The 19,719-nt window shown below is 36.9% G+C and overlaps 1 protein-coding gene across 10 annotated transcripts in view; it reads right to left on the reverse strand.

The window, feature by feature from the left end:
- AGBL4 (AGBL carboxypeptidase 4) overlaps positions 1-19,719 on the reverse strand; it is a 1,501,444-nt gene that overhangs the window by 1,328,511 nt on the left and 153,214 nt on the right. For all 10 annotated transcript variants that reach the window (NR_136623.2, XM_017002595.3, NM_001323575.2 and 7 more), the window contains exon 2: positions 375-497. Coding sequence is in view for 9 of the 10 variants with exons in the window: in XM_017002595.3 (XP_016858084.1) it covers positions 375-497 (123 nt within the window). In the remaining variant the exon portion in view is untranslated. The remainder of the gene's footprint in view (positions 1-374; positions 498-19,719) is intronic.

The raw sequence follows: 19,719 nt of genomic DNA on the forward strand, positions 1-19,719 counted from the left end.
TAAAACTAAGTTCTACTGTAAGCATGTCATACAGAACTAGATAGATATTATTCAATAAATCGTAATTGATAATACAGTCAAACATGAGGGTTTTATTCCAAAAAAATAATATCTTGGAAAGTAGTTTCTAAAATATAAGCTACTATGTAAGCATTTGTTAATATTACCATCAATTATATTTTTAATCATTTATAACAACAAAAATTTGATATTCCCAAGTTAGTTCCTTCAAAATTTTTTCCCATAAAACTTGTCCCATTATTGTGAAATATTAAATGAGTTGAATTGCACTGAATGGTCACATAAAATTCAATTCTGAAAAAAGAAATGCCTTACCAGACAAACTTAAAAGGAAAAGCCTTTAATATACTTACCACTTTCAAAGCAAGCATCAAAGATAAGATGTCCTTTCTTGGGCTGTCCACAATAGCCAGTTGGAAGCACTATATATTTGCTCACATTCCCTCCAATGGCATCATCATTTCCCATATCATTGCCTATTTAAAAAAATTGAAATAAAAGTCAAAGTATATTCGGCAATTGAAGTCTAGTCAGATTTTTACTGTTAATTACCCCTTCCCTAGTCACCAAGTGTTAACCCAAGCAAAAAGAAGTTAACACCACATTGTGGTACAGTGAAAAAAGGCTACATTTTGAAACAAAATGATATAGGGTCAAATTTCAACTCAAATAACTGCTAATTCTCTATGCCCCAAAGCAATCAACCTAGTATCTTTACACTTCAGTTCCTCTCATCCATAAAATGTGAACAGTAAACTCATCTTCCAAAGTTGTATTAGAATTGTATATAAACTATATCTACTATCATTATCAAAATCCAAGAGATATTCATTAAATTGCATCAACCATTTAATATATAAATAATTCACATAATTTGTCATAAACATATATTCAATTGTTTAAATTTGAATAAAGCAGTCATTCTATAAATAGCATTATGACTTCCAGATGCTCCACCAGAAACAATTTGAGAAACACTGAATTAGCATAGAAGTTCTATTTCCTAACAGGAACTTTAATTTTTAAAAGTTTTTGAAGTTTCACTTTCACCTAAGATGTAGAAAAATGGAAAGAGCATCCCTTCTACCCTAACAACAACAAATATCTCAATTAAGTACAAAATTATAACTTTCCCAAATCTATCAGAGAGCTGAGTTTGAAGAGCAGCTAAATAATCCAATATCGAAGGAAAGTCAAGCCTCACCAAAAAGAGTATGGGAAGCAAGCAGTGACTCCTTCATGGCAGAGCACAAGAAGAAGTAATGCTGGGTCCCATACAAATGAGTAAGAAAGCTAAGCTAATTTTTAAATATTATTAAACATCAAATAAGGAAATATGAGAGTGTGGAACTACTGAGTCATAGACACACAGGGAATTCACGTCCATTTGAAGACTCTGCTGTACAGGTCTCTACCAGGTATTCAGAAGGAAGATTACAGGCAAGTAGGTAGACCAGAAAATGTTTTCCTCTGTGGTACAGGCCTAGAGAAGGGGAGAGACTTCTGTAATAGGAAAGGCATGAAGTCTCTTATGGGAAAAACAGCCTTACACGACTAGGGGAGAAATAACGAACTTATCACCTGAGTGCAAAAGTGAGAGGAAGAGGAACAATAAAAGAAAAATCCTCTACACCTGAAGGAGCAGCAGGAAACATTCCCAGAGAATACTATAAATATTATTCATCACTATAAATGGATATACCTCTTTCCAGGTCATTTGTGTAGGGGCTTGTGTCAACCTAGTCTGGAAATAAACTAGGTTTGAGTTTCACTGTTGCTATGGTCATCTTAAATACTCAATCACCCCAGCCAGCCCCTTCCCTCAAAAATAAAATAGCACTAGAATAATTTGAAGCTAATTGGAAACTGAAGATAACCATAGCAACAAAGAAACTCAAACACACCTGAACTCCAAGCTAGGTTGACACAAGCCCCCACCCAAATGAGGTGGAAAGAGATATCCATTTATAGTAACAAATAATATTTGTAAGTACTGTAAATACTATAAAACAGTAGTATTCTCTACTCTTCTGGTATTCAATAAAAAATTGTGAGACATAGCCAAAATATCAAGAAAAAACAACCTACTGTCTAGGGATAAAATGATACGCAGGACCAGACACAGAAATGACCAGATACTGGAATTATCAGACAATGATTTTTAAATAAAGCTTAATATGTTAAAGGCTGTAGTGGAAAATGAGAACAAAATTCATGAAGAAATGGGAAATTTCATCAGTAAGACAGAAACCACAGTAATAATACAAAAGGAAATGATAAAACCAAAAATCACAGTAATAGAGATGAAGAATGCCTTTAATGCATTCATCAGTACACTTGGGACAGCTGAAAAATAAATCAGTAAACTTTAGATCAATAAAAATATTCTAAACATAAATGCAAAGGGAAATAGGAAAGGCAAAAGGGAAAAAACAGCAGAGCATCCAAGAGCTGTGGAACAATATCAACCAATCTAAAATATATGTATAATTGGGATTCCCAAGGATATGAGAGTAAGAATGAAGCAGAAAGATACCTGAAGATATAACACCTGAGAATTTTCCAAAATTAATGAAAGATATTGAGGTACAAATCCAAACAGTAACTAGGAGAATAAATATATTATTAAAAATTATGTTATATTTAAAGAGATAAATCACATACAAATGACCTAAGATAAAAATACATATTTCTCTTTGAAATATATAAACTGTGCAAACCAAAAGTCAAGGTAATGATATATTGAAATTACTGGGAAAAAGTCAACGTAAAATTTTATACCAACTGAAAATATCTTTCAAAGATGAAGTACAAACTAAAGGTATTTTAAGAAAAATAAAAGCTGAGATAATTTATTATCAACAGTCCTGTGTTGTAAGAAACGCCAACAATAGTTCTTCAGGCAGAAGGGAAATAATACCAGATATAAACTAAGATCCACACAAAGAAATTAAGAGCTCCAGAAATGATATAAATAAAGGTAAATATAAATTTTCTTATTTTCAATCACTCTAAAAGATAAATCACTATAGAAAAAATAGCAATGTATTGTCTGTTTATGCCATATGGAAAAGTAAAATATATTACAAAAATTGCACAAAAGATAGAAGAAGATGGATGACTATAGGTGCCTGACACTTGCCCTCATTCACAAGGAAGGGGCAAGTGTCAGGCCCCTCTAAAACAAGTAGACAACCACACATCAAATAAAGTGCCTAAGTGAGAACATTGGAATTCAGCAGGGAAGTGACAGGGACCATCTGAGGCATGAAAGGAGAGAGAAGTGAAGCAACTGGCCCATCCATGATTGTCTCAGATCCAAAAGAAGTTCCCCACTGCAAAGGAAAGGTAAGTAAAAGATCCCCAGTGCTGCACATTCCCATCACAGATGCCTGCAATAGCCACAGGAGACTCTAGCATAGAAAGTCATATGGAGTCCATTGCAATTGCATTGTTCTACAGAGGAAACTCACACTCTGTTCTACTCACCCCCCTGAAGCCTAAGCAGGTGCAACATGGCACCATTTTGAGAACTAATCCCCCATCAGACTACCTCTTACCCTGGGGCCCAGCTGCTCCTGCACCTCCACATCCCTGGAGCCCCAAGGACATCCTCCCACATCCAACCAGAGGGCTGCAGCATTATGATGCCTGCTGGACCCAGCAATACATCTGGACCCCCAGCACTGTAGCCATATAGTGCCCTAAATCCCCTAAAATAGACAGTATAGCACACCAGGGAGGCTACCCACAGGACAAAGGAAGCCAAAATGCACAGTTCCCAGAGCCTGAAAACCATCTTCCCTGGGACACTGCCATAAACAGAAACAACACTCCTCCAGTTGAAGGGCCACTGCAAACCTGAATGCACCATCAGAGAGCTTGAGAACAAGCCTGCCTATGTATGTCATCCAGTTTTATAGATGGTTGGCATTTCCCCAACTGGCACTCATTTTCTCTCCTGCTGCACTGTGAAGAGGTGCTTTTTGCCATAATTGTAAGTTTCCTAAGGCCTCCCCAGCCATGTGGAACAGTGAGTCAATTAAACCTCTTTTCTTTAGAAATCACCCAGTCTGGGGTATTTCTTCCTAGCAGCATGAGAATGAACTAACACAAATACAAACAAAAAGGTTATTATGTAATGATAAAGAGATCAATTCAGTAAGATGATATAACAAATATATATATATGCCCCCAACACCAGAACATCCAGATATATAAAGCAAATATTATTAAAGCTAAAGAGAGAAATAAACCCCAATACAATCATAGTGGGAAACTTCAAAACCCCCACATTCAGCATTGGACACATCATATAGAAAGCAAATCAACAAATTATCTGCACGATAGACCAAATGGACATAACAGACATTTACAGAACATTTCATCCAAAAGCTGCAGAATACACATTCTTCTTATCAGCACATGGAACAGTTTCATGGACAGATCATATGTTCGGTCACAAAACAAGTCTCAAGAAATTTCAAAAAATCAAAATCATATCAAATATCTTGTCAGACCACAATGGGATAAAACTGGAAATGAATAACAAGAGGATCTCTGCAGACTGTAAAAATAGACAGCAATTAAACAACATGCTCCTGTATTACCATTGGATCAATGAAAAAAATTAAGAAGAAAAATTTAAAAATTTATTGAAGCAAATGAAAAAGCAAACACAACATACAAAAACCTACGTGATAAAGCAAAAGCAGTGCTAAGGATATTTCACAACAATAAATTACTACATCAATAAAGCAGAAAGATTTTAACAATGTAATGCTGCACATCAAGAAAGTAGAAAAGCACAAATAAACCAAATGCAAAATAAGTAGAAGAAAATAAATAATAAAGATCAAAGCAGAACTAAGCAAAATAGAATCTAAAAAAATACAAAGGATAAGCAGAATTAAAAGGTGGTTTTTTGAAAAGATAAAATCGATAAACTGCTAGCTAGCTAAACGATACAAAGAGAGAAGACTCAAATAAATAAAATCAGAAATAAAAAAAAGACATTACAACTGATACCATAGAAATACAAAGGACCACTAGAGACTATTATGAACAACCATGTGCTATCAAATTGGAAAACCAAGAGAAAAATGTATAAATTTGTGAATATATATAACCTATAAAGACTGAACCAGAAATAAATAGAAAACCTGAACAGATTAATAATGAGTAGTAAGATTGAATGAGTAATTTTAAAAACTTCCCAATGAAGAAAGCACAGGAACAAATGGCTGTACTTCTGAAATCTACCAAACTTTTTAAAAAGAACCAATATCAATTCTCAAACTATTCCAAAAAGTGAAAGAGAATTCTTTCTAACTCATTCTATAAAAACAGCATTACCTTGATACCAATACCAGAGAAGGAAACAACAAGAAACAATAAGCCAATTTCTCTAATGAACATAGAATCAAAAATTATCAACAAAATATTAGCTAACTGAATCCAACAGCACATCAAAAAGGATATACACCATGCTCAAGTGGAATGTATCCCAGGGATACAAGGACGGTTCAACATACAAAAATCAATAAATGTGATATAACACATCAACAGAATGAAGGACAAAAACTGTATGATCACCTTAATAGATAAAGAAAATGCACTCCATAAAATTCATCATCATCCCTTCATGTAAGTGCTCTTAACAAATTAGCTACAGAAAGAACATATCTCAACACAATAAAGGCAATATATGACAAACCCACTGTAACATCATACTGAATACGAAAAATCTCAAAGTATTTCCTCTAAGAACAGAACAAGACAAGGATGCCCACTTTCACTTCTCTTACTCAACATGGTACTGGATGTTCTAGCCAGAGCAATTAGGCAAGAGGGGAAAAGAGAAATCCAAATGGGAAAAAAGGAAGCCAAATTATCCTTGTTCATAGATGACATGATCTTTTATTTAGAAAAACCTAAAGCTTCTGCCAAAAAAAAAAAACTGTTGAAACTGATAAATTATTAAGTAAAGTTTCAAGATACAAATTCAACCTATGTAAATCATAACTATTTCTATACATGAATAGTGAACAACCTGAAAAAAAATCAAGAAGTCAATCCCACTTACAATAGCTACAAAAAATTGAAATGCCTAGAAATAAATTTAACCAACGGGCTGAAAGACTGCAATGAAAATTCCAAAACACTGATGAATATAAAAATAAAACACGAACAAATAAAACAACCTCCCATGCTCATGGATTAGAAGAATAGCATTGTTAAAATGACCATACCACCCAAAGCAATCTACAGAGCCAATGTAATCCCTTTCAAAATACAATGACTTTCTTCACAGAAATAGAGAAAATAATCAATCCTAAAATTGACATGGAAACACAAATACCCCAAATAGCCAACAACATTGAGCAAACAGAACAAACATGGAGTCATCACACTACCATACTTCATATGCCAAAACAAAAAGCCATAATAGTCAAAATAACACAGTGTTAGTAAATAAACAGATACATAGACCCATGGAAGAGAATAAAAAACCAAAAAGTAATTTCATGTATTTACAGACAAATAATTTTTAACAAATGCACAGAGAGAACATACACTGGGGAAAGGACAGTCTCTTTAATAAATGGTGCTGTGAAAACTGAATATCCACATGCAGAAGAATGAAACTAGACCCCATCTCTCACCATATACAAAAATCAACTCAATGTGAATTATGGACTTAAATATAAGAACTGAAACTATAAAACTATTAGAAGAAACACTTCAGTAGATTGGTCTAGGCAAAGATTTAATGGCTAAGACATCAAAAGCACAGGCAACAGAAACAAAAATAGACCAATGGGACTAATTGAACTAAAAAGCTTCTGCACAGTGAAGGAAACAATCAACAAAATGATTAGACAATCTTTAGAATAAAAGAAAATATTTGCAAATTATTTACCCAAAGGGACTAACTCTCTAGAATATACAAAGAACTCAAAAAACTCAACAACAACAAAAAAATAAAATATCCTCATTAAAAAGTGGACAGCAGAAATGACCAGATATTTCTCAAAAGGAGACATACAAATGTCCCCAAAACATATGAAAAAATGCTCAACATCACTAATCATCAAGGAAAGGCACACCAAACCACAATGAGATACCATCTCACCCCAGCAGAATGACTACTATGAAAAGGATAAAAAATAGCAAATGCAGGCGAGGAAGAAAAGAAAAGGCAATTCTTGTATACCATTACAAGAAATAGTGGAAATGTAAATTAGTACATTAGTACATAGACACGATGGAGCACAGTATAAAAGTTGCCTAAATATCTAAAAATAAAAGTACCATACAATCCAGCAATTCCAGTACAGGATATTTATCTAAAGGAAACAAAATCAATGATATATTTATATATCTAACAGACAGATTACCATATTGGTTAAAATAGGAAAATCCAATGATATACTATTTATAGAAAATTGTTTAAATATTATATAAAGTCATGAATAGATTATAAGAAAAAGGATTGAAGGGACCACGCAAACAATAATAAAAAGAGAGCTCGAGAGGCTATATTAAAATAAGAGAATGTAGACTTAAGACCAAGAACTAAAACTAGGACTAAAGACCACCATCAAATAGTGATAAAGGAGTCAGCTCACCAAGACCAATAATCCTAAAAGTATACACACCTAACACCACCACTTGAAAATGCATGAAAAAGGCCAGGCAAGGTGCCTCACACCTGTAATCCCAGCACTTTGGGAGGCTGAGGCGGCAGATCACCTGAAGTCAGGAGTTCAAGACCAGCCTGGCCAACATGACAAAACCCTGTCTCCACTAAAAATCCAAAAATTAGCATGGTGTGGTGGCAGGTGCCTATAATCCCAGCTACTTGGGAGGATGAAGCACAAGAATCACTTGAATCTGGGAGGCAGAGTTTGCAGCGAGCTGAGACTGCACTCCAGCCTGGGCTACAGAGTAAGACTCTATCTCAAAAGAAAAAAAAAAGAAAAAGAAAATGCACGAAAGAAACTAATAGAAATAAAAGATGAAATATACAAAACCACAATTATGTTTAACCCTTCAATACGACTATTTCAGTAATCAATAGAATTAGTTGACATATTAGCAATATCAGGAATGAAAAGGTTAACATCCCTAAAAGCCACTGGGCATTATTAAGAGGATAATGAGAGAACATTATGAACAATGTTAACTCCTAATTTTGTGAACTTAGATGAAATTACTAAGCAGATGAAGACATTAAACAAGAAGAAAACTAAAGACTGGTATTCCTTCTGAACATAGACTCAAAATTCTCAGCAAAGTATTAGCAAATCAAATCCATCAGTCTGAGGAAAGTATATCATGACCAAGCACAATTTATCTTGGGTGTGCAAGATCAGTTCAACATTCAGAAATCAATTAATGTAATTCACCATAGTGACAGATCCATAAAGAAAATCTATATGATCATCTCAACAAATGCACAAAAAAAGCATTTGACAAAATTCAAAATTCAGTAGCTACTTATTCTCAGCATATGAAGAATTAAAACGGAATTCCTTGACATGATAAAAGGAATCTTTATATCTTTATCTTACATAATATGTAATTATGTATTTTTTAATATACTTAAATTATATTTAATTGTGAAAGACTAAAAATTACCCCCCAGTATTGTTTACTAGATAAGGATGCTCACTGTCATCACTCTTATTCAACATCATCCTAAAGTTTCTAAACGTGCAATAAACAAAGAAAAGAAATTAAAGCTGTACATACTGTCCCTATTCATACACAACAGAATTGTCTAGAGAAAAAAATCACAAAGAAGTTACTAAAAAGTTACTAGAATAAATAAGCTCAGAAAGATTAAAGGACAAAAAGTCAATAGAAGAAATCAATCATATCTCTATATAATTAGCAATAAGCAATTGTAAATTAAAAATTAAAATCAGTAATATTTGTAACACCAATAAAATTTATAAATCTAATAAACATTTGCAAAATCTCTACTCTTAAAACTAGAACCACTGATAAATTTTAAAAAGGTCTAAATAAAGGGAGAAACAAACCTTGTGAATGGATTGGAAGGCTAAATGTCAAAATGTCAATTCTCCATATATCGATCTAGAGATTCAATACAATCCCAACTGAATACTCAACCAACTGGTTCTAAAATGTATATGGAAAAGCAAACAAACTAAAAAAAATCAAAGCAATTTTGGAAAAAAAACAGTGTGGGGTTGGAAAAGAGACTGAAACATAGTTTACTGGAATAAAACTAAATGCAGAAATGCAAACACTTACATGGTCAATTGATTTTCAATAAAAGTGCAAAGGCAATTCAATGTAGAGAAGAAAATATTTACTAATTGGTCATCAATAATCCACATGAGTCTGGGCTCAGTGGCTCACGCCTGTAGACCCACCACTTTGGAAGGCAGATGCAAGTGAATCGCTTCAGCCCAGAAGTTTGAGACCAGCCCAGGCAACATAGCAAAACTGCATCTCAACGAAAAATTTTAAAAGTTAGCTGGCAGTGGTGGCACATGCCACTAGTCCCAGTAACTCAGGAGGCTGAGATGGAAGAATCACCTCAGCCCAGGAGCTCGAGACTGCAGTGAGCCGTGATTGTGCCACTGCACTCCAGCCTGAGTGTCAGACAGATGCTGTCTCAAAAAAATAGTAATAAGGAGGCAGATAAAGATAAAGAAATAGAAAGCTCCATAAATTATCCCCTTCCCCAGCAAAAAAAAAAACAAAAAACAAAAAACAAGTTAACAACTATCTACACAGAAAAAAACACCTTCTGTAAGAACCAAAAATCAGATGAGCACTGACAGTACCTGGTTTTAACTTCATATCACTGAAAGAGGCACTGAAGAGATCACAAAAACAGTCCTGAATCACCAATGCGACCCCTCCCCAACCCAGGCAGCTACAGAGTGGTGCAAAGAGCATCTCTGGCTGCTGAGAGGGGGAGAACACAGTAATTGTGACGCACTGAACTCAGTGCTGTTCTGTTAGAGCTGGGGGAAGAAAAACAGACCAAACTCAGCTGATGCCCACCCACAGAGAGAGCATTTAAATCAGCCCAGGTCCCATTGTGAGTGCCCACACACCTTCCACCAAGGGCCAAAGTGCTCTTGGTCTCCAAGTAAACTTCAAAGGCAGTCTAGGCCATAAGAACTGCAACTTTTAGGTAAGCCTAGAGCTGAACTAGGCCAGAGACATTGGACTGGAAGGGGCACGTGAGATACTGAGATATCAGCTGGGGCAGCCAAGGAAGTGCTGGCATCACCCTTCCCCTAACCCTAGGCTGTAGAGCTTGTGGTTCCAAAAGAAACACTTCCTTCTGCTTGAAAAGAGGAAAGAAAAGAGTAGTGAGGACTTTGTCGTACATCTTGGACACCAGCTCAGCCACAGCATGATAGGGCACTGGTCAGAGTAATGAGGCCCCTGTTCCAGGCCCTAGCACCCAGATGACATTTCTAGACACACCCTGGGATTTTGTAGAGGAGCACCACCTTGATGGTCTTGGAGAACTTTTTCAAAGTTATTTCAATCTCTACGTTAAATTCATCTGATAGAATTCTGAATTCCTTCTCTCTGTTATCTTGGATTTGAGCTACCTCAACACAGCTATTTTGAATAGGTAGCCCAGAAAACAGAGAGACTCTGTATATTTATTAGAAAGTAGGGGAAAAGATAAAGAGCCTCTGCCTGCTAATCCAGAGAATATACTCAGATCTTCTCCAAGACGATCAAGGTGGTACATCTCTACAACTCTGCTAGAACCACAATGTAACTGGGCTTGGGGTGCCCCCTAAAGCAGATACAGCTTAGATCACAGCACCCAAGTCCTTTTGAATATCTGAAAAGCCTTTACAAGAAGGATGGCTATAAACAAGCCCAGAAACTGAAGACTAACACTAAATACCTAACTCTTCAATGCCCAGACACCAAAAAACATCTACTAGCATCAAAACCACCCACAAAAACATGGTCTCACCAAACAAACAAATAAAACACAAGAGACCAATCCTGGAAAAATAGAGATATGTGACCTTTCAGACAGAGAATTCAAAATTGCTGTGTTGAGGTAACTCAAAGAAATCCAAGATAACACAGAGAAGGAATTCAGAATGCTATCAGATACATATAACATAGAGATTGAAATACCTTTTAAAAACTCAAGCAGAAATTCTAAAGCTGAAAAATGCAATTGGCATACTGAAGAATGCATCAGGGTTCTTCAATAGCAGAACTGATCAAGCAGAAGAAAGAATTAGTGAGTTTGAAGACAGGTTATTTGATAATACATATAGGAGACAAAAAAAAAAAAACAATGAAGCATAACTACAGGATCTAGAAAATAGCCTCAAAATAGCAAATTTAAGAGATAATGGCCTTAAAGAGGAAGTAGAGAAAGAAGCGGGGTTAGAAAGTGTATTCAAAGGAATAACACCAAAGAACTTCCCAAACCTGGAGAAAGATATCAATATACAAGCACAAAAAGGTTATGGAACACCAATGAGATTTAACCCAAAGAAGGGTTACCTCGAGGCATTTAATAATCAAACTCCTAAAGATCAAGCATAAAGAAAGGACCCTAAAAGCAGCAAGAGAAAGGAAACAAATAAATACAGTGGAGCTTCAATACACCTGGCGGCAGACTTTTCAGTGGAAACCTTACAGGCCAGAAGACAGTGGCATGACATAGTCAAAGGGCTGAAAGAAAAAAGCTTTTACCCTAGAATAGTATGTCCAACAAAAATACCCTTCAAATATGGAGGATAAATAAAGACTTTCTCACACACATACAAAAAAAGCTGAGGTATTTCATCAACACCAGACCTCTCCTATAAGAAATGCTAAATGAAGTAGTTCAATCAGAAGGAGAAGGATGTTAATGAGCAATAAGTAATTACCTGAGGGTACAAAACTCAATGGTAATAGTAAGTACACAGAAAAACACAGACTATTTTAACATTATAACATAGAAAACCCAAGGAAAAATTATACTACAAAACTACAGTAAGCAAAACAGCATGGTACTGACATAAAAACAGACACATATACCAATGGAACAAAATAGAGCACACAGAAACAAACACATGTACAGTGAACCCATTTTTGACAAAGGTGCCAAGAACATACACTCAGGAAAGGACAGTCTCTTCAATAAATGGTGCTGGGAAAACAGGATATCCATATGGAAAATGAATCTAGACCCCTATCTCTCACCATATACAAAAAATCAAATCAAAATTGGTTAAATACCTTAAGACTTCAAACTATGAAACTACTACAAAAACACATTGGAAAAAATCACCAGGACATTGGTCTGGCCAAAGATTTCTTCAGCAATGTCCTACAAACACAGACAACCAAAGCAACAATGAACAAATGACATCACATACAGTTAAAAAGATTCTGCACAGCAAAGGATTCAATCAACAAAGTGAAGAGACAACCCACAGAATGTGAGAAAATATTTGTAGAAATTTCATCTGACAAATAATTAATAACAAGAATATATAAGGAGCTCAAATAACCCTATAAGAAAATTTCTAATAATCTAATCAAAAGATGGGCAAAGATTTGAATAGGCATTTTGGAAAAGAAGACATAAAAATGGCAAACAGGCATATGAAAAGGTGTTCAACATCACTGATCATCAAAGAAATGAAAATCAACACTAGAATGTCTTCTCGCCTCTCTCAAAATGGCTAATATCAAAAAGACAGGCAATAACAAATGCTGGTAAGGATGTAGAGAAAAGGGAACCCTTGTATACTGTTGGTGGGAATGTACATTAGTCCAACCACCATGGAGAACAGTGTGGAGCTTTCTCTAGAAACTAAAAATAGAGCTACCATATGATCCAGCAATCCCACTGCTGGGTATATAACCCCCCAAAAAAGAAATCAGTATATCAAAGAGATATCTGCACTCCTGTTTGATGCAGCACTTTGGGAAAAACCGAAGTGTTCACCAGCAGATGAATGGATAAAGAAAATGTGGTAGGTACATATACACAATGGAGTATTATCAGCCATAAAAAAAATGAGATCCTGTCATTTCCAAAAACATAGATAGAACTGGAAATCATATTAAGTGAAAAAAGCCAGGTACAGAAAGACAAACATTGCATGTTCTCATTTATTTGTGGGATCTAAAAATCAAAACAATTGAACTAATAGACAAAGAGAGTAGAAGAATGGTTACCCAAGCCTGGAAAGGATAGTCAGTGGCTGACAGGCAGGTGGATATGGTTAATGGGTACAAAAAAAACAACAGAAAGAATGAATATGACCTACTATTTGATAGCATCACAGGATGACTATAGTCAATAATAACTTAATTGAAAGATGGCCGACTAGAAAGAGATGCAGTGGGAGGCTCCAACCAAGAGGGGAAACAGCTAGTGAATCCTGCATCGGCAACTGAGGTATCAGGCTCTCTCATTAGGAAAGACTAGGTGGTTGGCGCGAACCATGAAGAGTGAGGAAAAGCAGAGCAACAGCCCACCCAGCAGCTACACAGGGCAAGGGGAGCTCCCACCCCTAGCCAAGGGATGCAGGGAGTGGTTGTGCTACCCAACCTGGGAAGCCATGCTTTTTCCACTGATCTGTGCAACCCATGGATCAGGAGATCCCCTGATGAGCTCATGCCACCAGAGCCTTGAGCCCCATGACTGTGCAGATTCTTGGCAGTAGTTCAGCTGGAGACTGCCTAAAATTATCAAGTTCCTGGAGAAATGGGTGGCTGACATCACTGCGGCTGCCTGCTTGCTGTCATCACTGCGGCTGCCTGCTGCCTAGGATGACTGAGCTGCTGGGGCGAGGGGAGGCGGCCATCACTGCAGCTCCAGTCTGCTGTTTTCTTCTGGCAGTGCTGAGGAGGCTGGGCAAATTGGACCCAGGAGGAATTCTCCACAGCTCAGCACAGCTGATGTGGCAGATCTTGACCAGACTGCCTCTTCAGGCCAGATCCAGACCCATCCTTCATCACTGGGCAGGGCCTCCCTGCTGAAATGTCAGCAAGTCCAGCCAGGGGTTTACGGACAAAACTCTGATCTCCCTTGGGAATGGAGCCACTAAGGAGAGGGGCAACCACAACCTCTGTAAATCAGAGGACTTAAGTATTTCCCCCTGCTGGCTCTGAGGAATCTGGGCAGCCCAGATGAGTGAGATTCGCCCCAGTGCAGACAGCCCCTCCACCAAAGAGCAGGCAGAGTTCTTCATTAAAAGGGTCCCTGATCCCGTGCCTCCTGACTGGATGAGACAGGGGTTGCCAGACACTTTATACAGGAATATTCCCTCTGGCATCAGGTCAGTGCCCCTCTGAAATGGAGCTCCCGGAGGAAGAAGCAGGCAGGCATTTTGCTATTCTGCAGCCTCCACGGTGACATATCCAGATACAAGAGGGACCCAGGCAAATAGAGTCTGGAGCAGACCCTCAGAAAACCACAGCAGCCCTATGGGAGAGGAGCCTGACTTTTGAAAGCAAAACAAACAAACAGAAAATAAGAACAACAGCATCAACAAAAAGTCCCCATAAAAACTCCATCCAAAGTCATCATCCTCAAAGATAGAAACCAGATAAACTCAGGAAGATGAGAAAGAATCAATGAAAAAAACACTGAAAACTCAAAAAGCCAGAGTTCCTCCTCTCCTCCAAATGATTGCAACATCTCTCCAGCAAGGACAGAGAACTGGGCTGAGGCTGAGATGGATGAACTGACAGAAGTAGGCTTCAAAAGATAAGACAATGACAAACTTCACAGAGCTAAAGGAGCATGTTCTAACCCAATGCAAAGAAGCTAAGAACCATGACAAAACATTACAGGAGCTGTTAATCAGAATAACCAGTTTAGAGAGGCACATAAATGACCTGAAGGAGCTGAAAAACACAACATGAGAATATAATTTTGCAACCACAAGTATCAACAACCTAACAGACCAAGCTGAGGAAAGAATTTCAGAGCTTCAAGACTATCTTGCTGAAGTAAGACAGGGAGACAAGATTAGAGAAAGAAGAATAAAAAGAAACAAGCAAAACTCTGAAAACTATGGGATTATATAAAAGGAGCAACTCTACAACTGATTGGGGTACCTGAAAGAGACAGGGAGAGTGGAACCAATTTGGAAAACATACCTCAGAATATCATCCAGGAGAACTTCCCCAACCTAGCAACACAGGCCAACATTCAAATTCAGAAAATACAGGGAGCCCCAGTAAGATATTCCATGAGAAGATCAATCCCAAGACACATAATCATCAGATTCTCCAAGGTCAAAATGAAGGAAAAAATGTTAAGGGCAGCAGGACAGAAAGGCCAAGTTGCCTAAAAAAAGGGAAGCCCATCAGACTAAAAGCAGACCTCTCAGCAGAAACCCTATAAGCCAGAAGAGAATAAGAGCCAATATTCACACTTTTTAAAAAAAGACTTTCTGGCTGGGCACGGTGGCTCACACTTGTAATCCCAGCACTTTGGGAGGCCAAGGTGGGCAGATCACCTGAGGTCAGGAGTTCGAGACCAGTCTGGTCAACATGGCAAAATTCCGTCTCTACTAAAAATGCAAATATTAGCCGGGCGTGGTGGCATGCACCTGTAATCCCAGCTACTCAGAATGCTGAGGCAGGAGAATCATTTGAACCCTGAAGGTGGAGGTTGCAATGAGCCGAGATCACGCCATTGCACTCCAGCCTGGGCAACAAGTTTGAAACTCCATCTTAAATTAAAAAAAAGACTTTCCAACCAAGAATTTCTTTTTTTTTTTTCCTTGTATTTGGTCACCTTGACTTCACATCATTCTCATGGCAACTCCTGGATTCGCTGTTCCTCTTATTTAACCATGTCCTCTAAAAATGTTCTTGGCGTGGGTCTCTGTGTGGTGAATCTCCTGAGGCCTTGTAAGCCTGAGGACATTTTAATCTCGTCCTTTCTGTTTACGTGAGGGTCTGACTGGCTTTAATGTTGTTTCCTTCTAGATTTTGAAAATATCAGCATCTTTCCTGTCTGTGTTGCTGCTGAAAGGCCCCAGTCAGTCCTGTCCTGCCGGGAGGTGCGGCCAGGTCTTCCCCAGAGCCTTTAGGATGCTGTCTGTGACCTTGGGTGTCACACCTAGGTGTCTGCCAGCGAGTTTTCCTGTAGTTTCTGTTCTTTGGCATCCGTGGACTCTTTTACCTGTGGCTCGTCCTCTTTCCTTAATTCCAGGAAACTAATTTTCATGATTTCTATACATATTTCCTCTTTCCACTCTTACTATAACTTCCTTTTGGGCTTCTTTTATATATATATTTATATATATATATATTTGTTTATTATACTTTAAGTTCTAGGGTACATGTGCACAACATGCAGGTTTGTTACATATGTATACATGTGCCATGTTGGTGTGCTGCACCCATTAACTTGTCATTTACATTAGGTATATCTCCCAATGCTATCCCTTCCCCCTCCCCCCACCCCACAACAGGCCCCGGTGTGTAATGTTCCCCTTCCTGTGTCCAAGTGTTCTTATTGTTCAATTCCCACCTATGAGTGAGAACATGTGGTGTTTCCAACCAAGAATTTCATATCTGGCCAAACTAAGCTTCATAAACGAAGGAGAAATAAAATCATTTTCAGCAAGCAAATGCTGAAGGAATTCATTGCCACCAGGTCTGCCTTGCAAGAGGTCCTGAAGGAAGCACTAAATATGGAAAGAAAATACCATTACCAGCCACTACAAAAACACACTGAAGTACAAAAACCAATAACATTATGAAACAACTACATAAATAAGTCTGCAAAATAACCAACTATCATCATGATGACAGGATCAAATTCACACATAGCAATATTAACCTTAAATGTAAGTGGGCTAAATGCCCCAATTAAAAGACACAGAATGGCAAGCTGGATAGACTCAAGACTCTTTGGTGTGCTGTATTCAAGAGACCCAATAATAGACAAACAGAGAGCCAAATCATGAGTGAACTCCCATTCACAATTGCTACAAAGAGAATAAAATACCTAGGAATACAACTTACAAGGGATGTGAAGGACCTCTTCAAGGAGAACTACAAACCACTGCTCAAGGAAATAAGAGGGGATACAAAAAAATGGAAAAACATTTCATCCTCATGGATAGGAAGAATCAGTACCATGGAAATGAACATACTGCCCAAAGTAATTTATAGATTCAGTGCTATTCCCATTAAAACTACCATTAACATTCTTCACATAATTAGAAAAAAACTACTTTAAAATTCACATGGAACCAAAAAAAGGGCCCATATAGCCAAGACAATCCTAAGCAAAGAAAACAAGGCTGGAGGCATCACGCTACCTGACTTCAGACTACACTACAAGGCTAAAGTAACCAAAACAGTATGCTACTGGTACAAAAACAGGCCAATGGCACAGAATAGAGAATTCACACATCAACAACCATCTGATCTGTGACAAACCTGACAAAAACAAGCAATGAGAAAAGGATGCCCCATTTAATAAATGGTGCTAGTAAAACTGGCTAGTCATATGCAGAAAATTGAAACCGGACTCCTACCTTACACCTTATACAAAAAATAACTCAAGATAAAGACTTAAATGTAAAACGCAAAAGTATAAGAACCCTAGAAGAAAACCTAGGCAATACCATTCAGGACATAGGCAGGAAAAAAGATTTCATGATGAAAACGTCAAAAGCAATTGCAACAAAAGCAAAAACTGATGAATGGGATCTAATTAAACTAAAGAGCTTCTGCATAGCAAAAGAAACAAATTATCATCAGAATGAAGAGACAACCTACAGAATGGGAGAAAATTTTTGCAATCTTTCCATCTGACAAATATCTAATACCCAGAATATATAAGTAAATTAAACAATTTACAAGAAAAACAAACAATCCCATTAAAAAGTGGGCAAAGGGCATGACAGACACTTCTCAAGACATTTATGTAGCCAACAAATATGTGGAAAAAAAGCTCATCACTGATCATTAGAGAAATGCAAATCAAAATCACAATGAGATACCATCTCCTGCCAGTCAGAATGGTGATTATTAAAAAGTCAAGAAACAACAGATGTTGGTGAGGCTGTGGATAAATAGGAACACTTTTACACTGTTGGTGGGAATGTAAATTAGTTTAACCTTTGTGGAAGACAATGTGATGCCTCAAAGACCTAGAACCAGAAATACCATTTGATCCAGCAATGCCATTACTGGGTATATACCCAAAGGAATATAACTTATTCTATTATAAAGATACACTCATGTGCATGTTCATTGCAGCACTATTCACAAGGGCAAAGACATGTAATCAACCCAAATGCCCATCAATGATAGACTGGATAAAGAAAATGTGGTACATATGCACCATGGAATACTATGCAGCCATAAAAAGGAATGAGATCATGTCCTTTGCAGGCACAAGGATGAAGCTGGAAGCCATTATCCTCAGCAAATCCATGCAGAAACAGAAAACTAAATACCACATGTTCTCACTTACAAGTGGAAGCTGAACAATGAGAACAAATGGACACAGGGAGAGGAAAAACACACACCGGGGCCTGTCTGGAGTTGAGTACAGTGGTAGGGAGAGCATCAAGATAAATAGCTAATGCATGCTGGGCTTAATACCTAGGTGATGGGTTCATAGGTGCAGCAAACCACCATGGCACACGTTTACCTACATAACAAACCCGCACATCTTCACATGTATCTTGGAACTAAAATAAAATAAAATAAAGTGGATCTTACGAAGATAAAGAGTGGATTGGTAGTTACTAGAGAACAGGAAGAGAAGGGGGATAAGGGGATGAAGAGAGGTTAATTAATAAGTGCAAACATACACATTGACCTAGTGTGTTTGATAACATGGTAGGGCAACTGTAGTTAACAATAATTTCTTGTATATTTCAAATAGCTAGAAAAGAAGATCTAGAATGTTCCCAACATAATAAATGAAATGATAAATGTTTGAGGTAATTGATATCCCAAACATTCCGATTTGATCATTGTATATTGCATATGTGTATCAAAATATCACATGTACTTCATAAATATGTACAACTATAATGTATAAATTTTAAAAAGCAAGACTTTTAGGTAGGAATTCCATGAGGAAATATCATGTAACTGGATAGGAAATCACACAATTTTAAAGATTATTAATGAAAACACAATCTTTTGGCTATTCACAATGAAATAGTTTTAATTTTTGTTTTTAAATGAAAATCACTGGGATTAATGAGAATATAAAGAAATGGAATTGACACACACTGTTAGTGAAATGGTATGTTGACAGTGAACTTGTGGAGGACAATTGTACAATACTTAATAAAAATATTAACCTTTAAATCAACAACAAAATAATAATAACTATCACTTAATTGTACATTTTTAAATAACTAAAAGAGTATAATTCGATTATTTGTAACAGAAAGGATAAATGGATTGAGGCGATGAGTGCCTCATTCTCAATGATATGATTATTACACATTGCATGCCTGTATCAAAACATCTCGTGTGCCCCCATAAATATATATATCTACAATGTACCCTTAAAAATTAAAAATTAAAAATTTTTTGAATAATAGAAAGAAGAACTATCAGATTTCAACAACAAAAAGCAAGCCAATTCAAAAAAAGGCAAAAGATTTGAATAAGTGTTTCTCAAAAGAATATATACAAATAGTTGCTAAGCACATGAAAAGATATTCA

The sequence above is a fragment of the Homo sapiens genome, chromosome 1 (assembly GCF_000001405.40).
Source record: "Homo sapiens chromosome 1, GRCh38.p14 Primary Assembly".
Taxonomy (NCBI): domain Eukaryota; kingdom Metazoa; phylum Chordata; class Mammalia; order Primates; family Hominidae; genus Homo; species Homo sapiens.